Source organism: Homo sapiens, chromosome 6 (assembly GCF_000001405.40).
Source record: "Homo sapiens chromosome 6, GRCh38.p14 Primary Assembly".
NCBI lineage: Eukaryota > Metazoa > Chordata > Mammalia > Primates > Hominidae > Homo > Homo sapiens.
This window is the reverse complement of record NC_000006.12, coordinates 134956863-134969710: the sequence shown is the minus strand read 5'-3', so window position 1 is coordinate 134969710 and position 12848 is coordinate 134956863. Positions and strand designations below refer to the sequence as shown.

Genomic DNA, 12848 nt, shown 5'->3' with positions numbered 1-12848 from the left:
CTACTTGTAATAATAAAAATGACAACAACATTTGTTCTAAATGACGAATTCTCTTACTTAATCTTTAGAACAACACTAAGATGTTGTTACCCTCCATCTTTACAGAGGAAAAAGCTGACAGGTTATGCACTGAACTAAAGTTGATGCAGTAATTGGTGGGGTAGAAATTTGAAATGCCTCTCATGACTTTTTTCCTCTTAGTGAGTTAAGTAACCACCTGATTAGAGTGGTGGGACTTAGAGGAAGCAACTGGAGATCCTGAAAGACTCCAAGCAGTAGCACTGAATTGAAGATAATTAAGTATAAGTGCCAAAAGAAAAGGCCAGAGATACTGTGGTAGCAGATTTTTAGTGTTATAATTTTTTGTTTTAGGTGCTGTTACACTACCAAACTGTCAGTGAACCCGCCGTTATTAAACGATTGATTAGTGTCTTAAACAAAAGCACGGGTGAAGTCACAAAGAAAAAGCCTAAGTGAGTGTTTTAATACAGAAATGATAAACAAGCAATTTAAGCCAATTTTTTAAAGATTAACTCATTTGTGTAGTATTTCTCTTTGTGGTAAGTGAAACCCATTTTTACTTGTTCCAGAAATTATTTTTTCAAGGGCTAGATTAAAACAAACATAAAAACAAGCAAGTATTTAAGCTCTTGTTTAGATATGGGTACTAGATATAATTTCTGTTATGTGTGGTGGTGGAGGATGTGAATTATAAATAAATGTAAATATAAACTTATATATGTATGTACATTTCAAGCCATAGATACTGATTATGTGAAAATAAGGGCATTTAAAAAAATATGTCTAGACACCGGTTCCAAATTTCTACTGCGTGTTTAACTTTCTTGTCACCTCCTTAATAAGATCATTCCCTATGCTAAGCTAAGAAGAAAATAATCTATACACTCTGTAGTGCCTGCTCTTTTCCCATCTGGAAAGTTTGTTTTTTTTTTTTTTTGCTCAAAGTCCACCTGGAGCCTTAAGTTGAGGTGATCAGCATCCTGTTGGGCCTGCTGATTAGCATTAATGTCCAGGCTTAGGTGTGACACTTCCCCTTTGGCTAGGACGAGATTGGGATTTTTTAAGTACTTCCTCAGAAACTAAGTACGTAAATAAAAACAAAATACAGGACTAGAGATGAATGTTACAAAATAGATTTCTTGGCCAGGCACAGTGGCTCATGCCTGTAATCCTAGCACTTTGAGAGGCCAAGGCGGGCAGATCACCTGAGGTCTGGAGTTTGAGACCAGCTTGGCCAACATGGCGAAACCCCGTCTCTACTAAAAATACAAAAATTAGCCGGGTGTGGTGGCTCACACCTGTAATCCCAGCTACTCAGGAGGCTGAGGCAGGAGAATCTCTTGAACCCGGTGGGCGGAGGTTGCAGTGAGCGGTGATCGCACCACTGTACTCCAGCCTGGGTGACAGAGTGAAACTCCATCTCAAAAAAAAGAAAAAAAAAAAAAGATTTCTTACCCAAATCCAAGTTAAGGCTAATTGCAGTTTGGCTTGGCTGCTTTAGCTTTGGGGTTTTCCTTCCAACTTCTTTTCCAATAACATCCCAAATCCCCTTTTTTCTGTCCTTGGTGTTCCTCATCTTTTACACCTGCAGAAGAGGCCAAATGTGGTTAGTGGGTTAATAGGCTGACTGCAAGTAGAAGAGAAAATCTCACATTGCTCTAAACCCTTGCCTGTTTCTCTGTTAGGAGGAAGGGCTACTTTACCTCTCTCCTAAAGGTAGATCTTTATATTTAACCTGAGTCTTTAGCTTGTGGCATGAGTGTTTGCTATAATGTTCTGAGAAACACGATATAACTATATGACTAACATTTCTTGAGGACCACTATTTTTAGGCTGTATTGTGAATGCTTTCACATAATGTATATTCTTAGCAATCCTGTGAAGCATCTAGCAAGTGACACAAAGCTCAAGTGGTAGAGGCAGGATTCTAACCTAGTCAGTTGGTTTACATAAATTATATTCTTTTGTTCAGGAGCCAGGTTGTTTGACCTAGACAACTGATACAGAATTTTCAGTCTGAAATTGGCTCATCATATATAATCCTGAGTCTTCCCCTCCATGCTCCTGCTACAAAATCCTAGCTCAATGATGGTAGAGTTTAACATATTCTCGTGTTTGTGTTCCCTGTCATCTTATTTGTAGCTTTATCCTTTTATTTTGCACAACCGTTTGGCCTTTCCCTTTCATTCCTGTTCAGGCACGTTGTAGGCTCTTGATTGCTTTATGCAGAATGGAATTTAATGTTCTAGAAACTAAATTAGGAACAAGCCATTTATGTATTAGATGCTCTCCTTCCTAAGGAATGAACTTAAGCCTGAAATTGTCCAAAACCAATATTTGGAATTTTTGGTGTATTTTTTTAGAACCTTCTTTTAGTCGTCTGCCCCTGAACTTATCTTTCAAAAGGAGAGTTTATGATTTCTGTCCACTATACTTCTAGAGTACATAAAAATTAAATTAGAAAACAATTCCAAAATGTCCCTTTTTAGGTTCTGCCTCTCTCACTAAGTCTGAGCAGGGCCTAGCCTAGAGATTTTTGTTCACTTATTTTTATGAAATCATTTACAGTCTGGTCCATGCCCTGTCTTCCTTCATATTTTACAAGTATCATATTGTGGAAAAGCTACTTATGTGATTTTTGTCCTGAACTCCTGCTAAGGAACTATTATTCCTGTGTGGGGAAAGAGAGAGATTGCTTGATTGATTGAGGGGAATCTTAGCAACAACAGATTGATTGTCCTCTTCACAGATAACTTCCTAATACACATTCCATAAATTACAGTTTTACTAGGAAAGACATAGGGCATTATATTCCTCTTTGCAAATACTTTTTTATAGAAATAAGCCTTAGTATAACTTTCTTTATTAGATAATTGAACTCACTTTCTTGAGGGAATGAAAGAAAAAGCATTTATTTCATGATGAGGGGCCTTAAGCATTTTAGGCTATAGTGGTCCCGTAAGGGATAGAGTTATATTTGGAAGATTGGTAAAAATGAACTACCTAATGTTTCTTAAATCTAGAATTACTCCTCATTTCTTTCAACTAAAGCAGAAAGTCCAAAGACATATATTTTCATTCAAAAAATATTTTTCTTGTTTTTGAAAGACTCAGTTGATATGTTGGTTAAATGTGAAATATTTGTTTTTCAAGTTGTTATTATTACATTTATTCACCTCTATCATATATTCATTTGTTCTTTTTTTTTCTTAATAGGTTTTTGACTAAAGGCCAGAATGCATTGGTAGAGCTACAGACACAAAGACCAATAGCTCTTGAGCTATATAAAGACTTTAAAGAGCTGGGGAGGTTCATGCTACGTTACGGTGGTTCTACAATAGCTGCTGGTGTTGTCACTGAGGTATTTTATTTTAAAGTGACTCATTATATATCCATAGTTATGATGCCTTTTCTTTTTTACCTTTTAGGAATGAAAAGAAAGCATTGAGGGAATGAAAGAAAAAGCATTGATTAGGAGAAGCCTTACTCATTTTAGGTTGTAGTGGTCCTTTAAGGGATAGGGTTATATTTGGAAGATTGGTAAAATCTTCAGTGAGATTTTATGCCTTAAAGGAAACACAGTTATGCTACTAGAACAAGAAATTAGAATTTATATTAAATTCTAATTGCTGGAGAAAACAGCCAGAAATGAACCAGAAAATTTCAATGATTTAATTTCTTCTACACTATCATAATTAATATGAATCTTATGAATATTGTATTTTAAAGGGTACTTCATTACTCCACATGATTGTTTTCTGCCTAAAACTAGTTTATTTAATTGGATATAACATAAACTTTAAGTTGCATCAAAAGTGAGTTACACATATCATGAAAAATCTTTCTTTTAAGTTGCTAAAGCACCAAGAAACTCTATATACATAATTTAAGTAAAATACATATGGAAGGCGGTGTGGGGTGGAGGTGAAGAAAACAGCTTTCAGAGTTACACTGCCCATTTGTGTTCTTGCTCCACCAGTTTTTAGCGGCATAAATGCATTTCTCCTTCAATTTACCTCCTTCAGTGTAAAAATAGGATAATAGAATCTACCTCCTAGAGTTGTGTTGAAATGAAATGATAACGTGCAAAGCACTCAGCACATAAAAAGCATCCAATATTGGTAGCTGATATCGTTGCCATCAATATCACATTTAATCTATCAAGGCATTCTTTCTAAAAGAGCATTCTAAAAATAAGATAGAGTCATTTGTGGAGAATAATGGAGAGATTATAGTAAATTGCAGAAATGGCATGACTAGGAAAGGAAGAAAGTTGCAGGACAAAGAAAAAGATTTTCTCTTGATATAATAATTCTTTCACCATAATTTTCCCTTTGTTGTTCTTATAATGTGATTGATTAAATTACAGCAAATGTCTTTTTTTTTTTTGTTTTAACAGATAAAAGAATGATGGGTCAGAATTTCTACCACGTTTCTGGATACAGTGAAATAGCTAACCTCTGTTTCAAGAATGCAGTTATTAAGTCAAAGGAACAATGTGCAATTGATATGTTTTTAGATGAGAGAGAAAAATTAAAGCTAAAATTAGCTGCAAAGAAGTATTAATAATCACCTCTGCAAAAATTCTAAGTTGCCAACTGGCAAAGAAAGTCTAATGTTAAAAACAACTTTGCCTTTGAAACGTTAATAAATGGATTTACTTTGCTAAGATTTATGGCAAGTGTCAAAAATAGTATCTGAAGATACTGAATCATCATGAAATGAACTCTACTTCTGGCCAAAGCACAATGTATTTGCAGTTTTCTCTTTTGATTCAATTATACTGCACATGTTTTAAGGAAAAGTAACTTAATTGGGTTTTTCAGGCAGTTGATATTTGACCTAAGCTTTTTTTTTTTTTTTTTTTCCAGTTAATGCTAAGAAAAGATTTGGGGAAGGTTATAATAAAAGTATTTTGTGGTGACCATAAGAATGTCCCTCCCCAAACAAGTAAACTTGTGAAAGTTTAATTTGGAATTAGTGGAAGCTGTTCCTTTGAAAGCCAAGATATTATTTAAGTTGTAAAGCCAGCTAATAAAATGCCTTAGTTTGAGCATAATACAAACTGTGTTTTGTTCTTTAGACATTTATGAGATTCTCTGCCACTAACAGTAAATATGATTTAGGGGTTTTGTGGGATCTTTTTCACCTAAGAGTTTCCTAGCTCTGTCACATGAATTCTTTTTTATCCTAATGGCAGATCCAATTTCATCTCATTCATTTTTTTAACCATAACTTGCTTTTCCCATTCTCACTTTTAGAATTATACCTATGATGGCCCTTTCTTTATCTTGCTTACCTTATAGATTATAAGTCCCCTGTGAGTAAGTAAGAGTCATGTTTTTCTTTAAAGTTTCAACAACAAACCCCAAGGTTTATTTATTTAACAACAGGTATTCGTTGAGGTGCCTTCTGGGTGCAAGGAGCTTTAGAGTAGATTTTGACCTCAGCTGAACCTGGAACTCTGATCTGATAGACTGTTTATGATAAGCTTTTTTTTTTATTAGCAGCGTGATTTGTATATCGATGGCTTAACATATACAACAGCATTTCTTCTCCCTGCACCTTTTCGTGAACCTGACATTTTGAACATAAGCAATAACATCTGTATGGTAAAGTAGGCAGATTATACATGTGTTGCTTAGTGAATGATTACCAAGTGAACACACTTGGTATATTGCTTTACCAAAATACATGTGTAGTTGTCACTTCAGATTCACTGAGTTAAGAAAGTTTTATTTAAATATTAATATTAATCAAGAATTTAACAGATATATGTGACAGAAATCTAACTTCAAGTGACTGAAGCAGAAAGAAAAATTTTTGAATGACATAACTGAGAAAATTAGAGGTAGCTCTAGCTTTGATTCCATTTAGATCGAGCAGCTCACACAATGTTAGCAAGGACTCATCTCCACTCTGCCTTCCCTGGTGCTGGTTTTGCTCTCAAACTCTATATAGAACTCTCGGCCGGGCGCGGTGGCTCACACCTGTAATCAAAACACTTTGGGAGGCTGAGTCGGGAGGATAGCGTGAGCCCAGGAGTTTGAGACCAGCTAAGGCAATATAGTGAGACCATGTCTCTACAGAAAAAATTTAAAAACAGATCAGCTGGGTGTGGTGCCACATGCCTGTAGTCCCAGCTTCTCAGGAGGCTGGGGTGGGAAGATCACTTGAGCCCAGGAGGTCGAGGCTGCAGTGAGCCATGATCACATCACTGCAGTCCAGCCTGGGTGACAGAGCAAGACCTGTCACCCTGCCACCCATAAAAAACCTCTTCTGTAATGCCAGGTTCTTGACAAGATGTGATAATTCCACACTTACATCCTCAGATCTCCCATCCAGGGCAAGGACAGACTAAAAGAGCATATCTTCTCCAGAAGTCCTAGAAACATCTCATCATTGACTATGATTGAATTTTATTTATTAATACTTCCCTAGGATATCCTGTGTTTGAGTGTGAAGTTAATATCACACAAAGCATGTAGCTAACAGTTGTGTGAGGGTTGGAAATTCAGGGTGCTGTTAGGAAGGGGAAATGGATTGGGGTTTAAGGTAGGGGGAGTAAAAACAAGAAACCATCCACTCTGTATATTATATAAGACTGTGATCGAATTAAGAATTTTAGTTTACAGTTTAGCATAAACAAATAGTAGTAGAAATGAATGCATTTATTCATTCCTTCCTTCTCCAATAGTGTTTAAGTACAATCTTTTTATTTGCATTTTATTGATGATTGATTGTGGTTGAAAGGAGTGGTGATATTATTTCGAGGATCCACTGTGTAAGAAGACTGTTGGCAGTGGAAGGCTCGAGTTGATTAAGTGACAAAGAGGTAAAGCAGACATGCCCAAGCTTGGTTATGCTCTGATTTCCTACCCTGTTACTTTCATCCATAATTTATAGTACATCCATTTTGTGTCATTTTGCTTCAGGTATTTCTTGTCCTGACTGTCTTCTTTTTTATGATTTTACTGTTTCTTCACACTAATGGCTTTGTCCTCTGACTTTGACTCTTTGTGAGATTCTTCTGAGCAGTTAACCTCTAGGATAATGTGGCTTGAACACATTACAGAACTATGTTTTGACTTGTTAGTATTATTCACACATTCATGACAATTGAGCCTCTCTACTGTGAGAAATGTTTTAGAGGCCAGTTTCTAGGCATAGCTGTTTTTCTCCCATGAGTATGCAAATCAATAGTTTTAACCATTGTTAAAATGCAATCATAGTGACTTCAGAAAATTTGGAAAATACAGAAAATATAGGGAAGAATAAAATTAACCCACAGTTCTGTCACCTAAAGGTAACTGCTGCCAATGTTTTCATGTATTTCTTTTCTGTCTCTCCAATGCATTTTTTTACATAGTTGTGAGCGTTAGCCAAGTTATTTTCATGTTGTTATGTAATCAATATTTTTCAATAGAAGTATTAGAGGTTTTTTTTATTGATATAAAAATAACAATTACAGATCCTGATATATAGAAGTTATTCAAAATTATACAGTTTTCAAAAAATCAAGACAAGTAGGCCCAATACAAACTACTGAATCATCTTCTAATTTCCCTCTAAAATATTTATAGAAATATGTAAGTAGAAAAACATTCATCCTTTCCTCGTCTAATTATGATCCTGCCATATTCCAGGCACAAGAGAAAGCTCTGGGGCTTGAGTCTTAATAGGGCTGATAGTCCAACCAGGGGACAGGGTATCATAAAGAGATAATTCAAAACTTTAAGATTGGAGGGTAGGTGATGGTAGAAAATTCTGCGGCAAACATTTGTTGATGCTCATCATTTGTTGATGTCATCAAAGATCACCAGGGCATAATTATAATCAAAATTAGTTTTATTGATGCTTGCTGCAGCAAGAGAGACTGCACACCACTGGGGTCTATGGGTGCTTCTCAGTGGGAAGGTGTAAGGAGGGGCTTGCTAAGAATTTGAGCACATGTAGCTAATTTTAAGGAGGGCTCAAGTGAGCAAGGGTTTCTTCTGGATTGAGTGCTGTCAGAAAGTGGATTGAGTGCTGTCAGAAAGTGGGAGTGATTTTGCAACTGGGTATCTTAATTTTTATGTTGTGGGTGGGAGGAAAGGAAAGAAGCAACAGTCACCCATGTTAGCCACAAGAAGAGGTTGGCTGTTTATGGTTTGCACAGTGACTTTGTTTTTATCTGTGCTCAGGCATGATTACAGTATCTCATTTTATCCGGATTACAGTGACCTCATCTGATGTTAGAGATTTGAGAATTGTTAAATGTTCAGCAGGAGAACGCCACCGCCTAGTGTGAATGCTAGGTCAGAAGCTGCTTTTTCACACTGAAACCATTTAAGTATGTACAAATAAGTTAATAGTGTAAATGTAGGTGTAAAATACAATGCAAAACAAAATAATGAAGTAAGTGAATTAAATTATTGCACCAAATATGGGGATATGAAATAGGGAAAGAAAAGCATTAAGTTACTTATAGTCCATAAAGGGACTACATTATTTTGTTACTCTGATAATCCCATAAAACAAAGTTTTAAGAATGTTTACAGTAACCATGAATGGAATTAGTGAAACTATTCATATCAATGCAAAAAAAAAAAAAAAAAAAGCAAAGAAACTAAGTCTGTACAGCAAAAGATGGAAAGGAAACAAGAAAATTAAATGAAGACAAAGGTTGTGATTATTACAGTAAATGAAAATAGGTTTTTATCTTTAAAATGTAGACTCAAACTGCAAAGCTAATGATATGCTATCTGCAAAATATTCCTATTTTGTAAATAAATAAAACCATAGATTTAAAGAAGAAAGGGCACAGATGTACTGGGGAGACAAAAATAACTGATCCGTTGGGTGTATACCATGTGCCAAGCAATTTTCATATACTCATTTAACATGACATATCTATAATTATATGAGGCAGATATTATTAACCTCAGTCTATAGATGAGAAGACTAAAGCTCAGAGGGATTGCTAAAAACTAGTAAATAAATTATGGAACCATGATTTGAATTTAGATTTAAGTCTGACTGAGGCATGTTCAGAGACACTACACTGCCTCTCCAGAAATCAGGAGTAGCAATATTAACACTGGACAAAGAATTTAAAGCAAGTAAAAAAAAATTAAGAGAATTTCATATTAATAACAAGTATAATGCACAATAAAACTGTACCAAATGACATAAAAATGCATAATGAAATTTATTAGAAATTAAAAATTAAAGGGCATAGTTACAATTATTGAGGAATTCTCATAGCTCTGCCTTATAGATCATGTAAACAAACAAGGTCATAGAGGACTTAAATAGCAAAGCAGAAAAAAATATATGTAAAAAGAGAATATACTGTTACAAGTTTCCTTCAAGAATTTGATAAAAAGCAGTTAACACTGCTCTTGAAGAGTTACGTTATAAAGTGAACTCAGTGGATCAGACTATAGATATGGGAGTTATCTTTCAGGTTTGGAATCATTTAAATGGACTACAGATATTGGAATTACTGGTTACAGAATATAAAATAGCTGGCTAAAATATTTAAATATTTAATATTTCCTTATAAGACGTGGAAATGTGAGTAAATAAGAGACTATAAAATGACCATATGTGTTTTAAAATCAAACATAACATTTAAGTGTGAAATATATAATTGAAACTAAAAACTATTTAGATTAAACAGATTAGATACAGCCAAAGAAAGAATTAGTAGCTGGAAGCATAGATCAGAGAATTTACCCACAATACAGTACAGTAAGATAAAGATATGAATAAGTTCATGTGGAATAGAGACTAGAATGAGAAGGTATACATCACATAAAATTAAAGTTTTAGAAAGTGGGAATACAGAGAATGGATGTACAATATCAAAAAATATAATAGCTGTAAAATTTTCCAGAACTGATGAAAGATATGAATTCACAAATAGAAGCAATACAACATATTTCAAGGATGGTAAATAAAAAAGAAATCCACTTCTAAGTACATTTTAGTGAAACTGCAGAATACTGAAGAGAAAGATCCTAAAATTGGTCAGAGAGAAAAGTCAAATCTACAAAGGAACAGGAATTAACAACAAAATGGAAAACAAAAATAGCAAGGTATCTGCAAAGAGTTAAAGAAGGTCTGTGCCATTCATAAGAGGGCTTAGTTATCCATGGAATCTTGAGAAAGGTTCACAGCAACAAATGCTACTCATTCAAAGCCTTGTCTCTCAGTCTGTTCGAGCTGCTATAGCAAAATACCCTAAACTGGGTAATTTATAATAACAGCCATTTATGTCTTAACGTTCTAGAGGCTGGGAAGTCCAAGATCAAGACACCAACACATGTGGTGTCTGGTGAAGGCTGTCTGCCTCAAACATGACATCTCTTGCTGTGTCCTCACATGGCAGAAGGGACAAACACCGTGTTCACATGAGGCAGAAGAGCTGAAGGCAGAAACTTGCTCCCTCAAGTGCTTTTATAAGGACACTAATCTCATGCAGGAGGATGGAGCCCTCATGGCCCAATTTTGTAATTAAAAGGTCTCAACTCTTAATACTGTTATATTGGGAATTAAATTTCATCATGAATTTTGCAAGGACATAAATATTCAAATGATTGCACTCTGTCCAGAAAGGAAAGACTCCCTGGCTCCCTTGGCCAGGCCAGGCCCAATCAGAGGATAAATACATAACTCTGAGATAGATTCAAATACTGTTGAATTTTGATTGTCTAATGTCTCTTCTGGTTCCTTGTTGGTCCTTTAACTTTTACTGAGCTGCATAAGTTCTGCTGAAGGTAAGAATAAATGTGCTGAAGTTTGATTATTTGGCAATTCAAGTAGTTTAATTAGAGGAAGGGAATGTGCCAGGAATGAGGACACAAGAATCTGTGGGTTTTCTGATATACTTCTCATAGTACATAAATAAATTGGAATTTGAATGTTAAATATCAACCTCTTGAGTTTAGTTAAATGAGTCTATTCTCAGTATATTGACAAATTCAGATCCCAAAGCCTATAAGCCAGATATCGAACCATGGTAATTTCAGCAAAATACTGTTGATGCCCCAGAGAGCCTCCTGCGTGACAGCATACTGACATTTTCATCTGAGGAGTTTTACCTGTGGCTAGGCTTATTTCCTTAAACACCTTCTAAAATGTTCATTTACAAAAATTGAGTATTCTTAGTGATGAAGAAAACCCCAGGTTATCAAAAGCATAATACTCAAAAGTTCTATATATTAAAATGAGTTTTTAGAAATACCTTAGTCATAGGACATATAAAAGACACTCTTCTAAATAACCTAATGAAGAAAATTTAAGATTATTTTCAAAAATGAAAATGAGACTACTTATTAAAGCTTCAGATAGCTTTATACTCATGATGGTTTTCTCTTTGTTTTGGCTGCCAGGAAGCTGACAGCCAAATTTGAGGCCCCAAACTGTACAGGATCTTAGGCATTTTGTAAACTACCCGTATCCCTGGCTTTATCTTGTTTGCAAGCACTTATTTTTCATTCTTCCTAATATTTTCTCCCCCACAACCTATTATAATGTATGTATTTTTATTTCTGTAAGTCATCTGAAATCATTTGTGGAATACAAAGTAATAGAAATAAATCAGCAAAGTAAAGATTTTTTAAAATGTGTGTAATACATATACCTATGTATTACATGTGTATACAACAAATATATTTTACATATATGCATGTGTATATGTGTATATATTTGTATGTAATGGAAAGAAATCAGTATATCCTTAAATTTTTTACTATAAGCTTATGGAAAAACTAACTAAATAAACATTTAACTAAAAAACCTAGAAAAGAAACAGAATGACTGTCCTTAGGAAATATACCCATGAGTCCATACCAATATGAATAAATGATTGAATAAATAAAGGGAGGTTGAATAAATAAGATAGGGGAAATGAAGAGACAAATCTCCCTTTTAAAAGCATTTCAAATAATTTATGTAGATACTTTGTCTTCACGGAGGTAGAACGTAACACTCCACCCCTCATGTGTGGGGCTGAGCATAGTGACTTCCTTCCAAAGAGTACGGTATGGAAAAGCAGTGAAAAGAATTTTATAATGGAAAAACCTGACAAGTACTACTTCAGCCAAGTGATCAAGGTTAACATCGAGTGACGTCATGTTGATTATACATACTGATATATATCTATGTATAATAATGTGGTGAAGATGGCACTTTTTGATCTTCCTCCTAAAAACTCACAACACCACTCTAATCATGAGAAAAATATCAGGCAAATTTTAATAGAGGAGCATCCTACAAAATTCTTGACCAATACTCATTAAAACTGTGAAGGTCATCAAACATAAGAAAAATCTGAGAAACTCATTGCCATGAGGACCTAAGGAGACATAAGGAAATGTAATGTGTCATGAGTGGGATCCTGTACCAAAGACATTAAGTAAAAGCTAAGGAAACATCAATAAATTACGGAGTTTAGTTAAGAATGTATCACTACTGGCTCCTTAACTGTGGCAAATGTACTATTCTAGTATAAGATGTTCATATTGGGGGGAAACTGGCTGCAGTATTTCTATAAATATAAAACTGTTCTAAATGATAAAGTCTTTAAATTTTTGTTATATAGTATTTAATACAAGCAAAAGAACATTTGTAATTAATATGTAGATTAAAAACAAGAAAACCCCATAAACTGTTCCCTCTACTAATGATTAAAACATTAGCAATAAGTGCCATTGAAGCTATCCTAATCTATCATAGCCTTTTCCCAGCCCTGACTGGGGATTTTAACATTTCCCTTCTTTAAAAAAAAATTTTTGTAAATTGTTTATGTGGTATGAGTAATATGTTCATGATATGAGGTA

The 12848-nt window shown here is 34.7% G+C and overlaps 1 protein-coding gene across 4 annotated transcripts in view, besides 1 other annotated feature; it reads left to right on the top strand.

The window, feature by feature from the left end:
- Nucleotides 1-9333, top strand: part of HBS1L (HBS1 like translational GTPase) — a 94445-nt gene extending 85112 nt beyond the window's left edge. For 3 of the 4 annotated variants that reach the window (NM_001145158.2, NM_006620.4, NM_001363686.2), the window contains 3 exons: nt 373-473; nt 3238-3382; nt 4421-9333. In NM_001145158.2, coding sequence (NP_001138630.1) covers nt 373-473; nt 3238-3382; nt 4421-4432 — 258 coding nt within the window. In that variant the 3' untranslated portion in view covers nt 4433-9333. Of the gene's footprint in view, nt 1-372; nt 474-3237; nt 3386-4420 lie in introns of those variants that run through there. The other variant, XM_047418093.1, reaches the window with a different exon arrangement.
- Nucleotides 12294-12494: a silencer, noted in NCBI's record as "peak6136 fragment used in MPRA reporter construct". NCBI's record gives its function as "represses an SCP1 promoter by STARR-seq MPRAs in K562 erythroleukemia cells {active_cell/tissue: K562}" and the evidence as "EXISTENCE:reporter gene assay evidence [ECO:0000049][PMID:32103011]".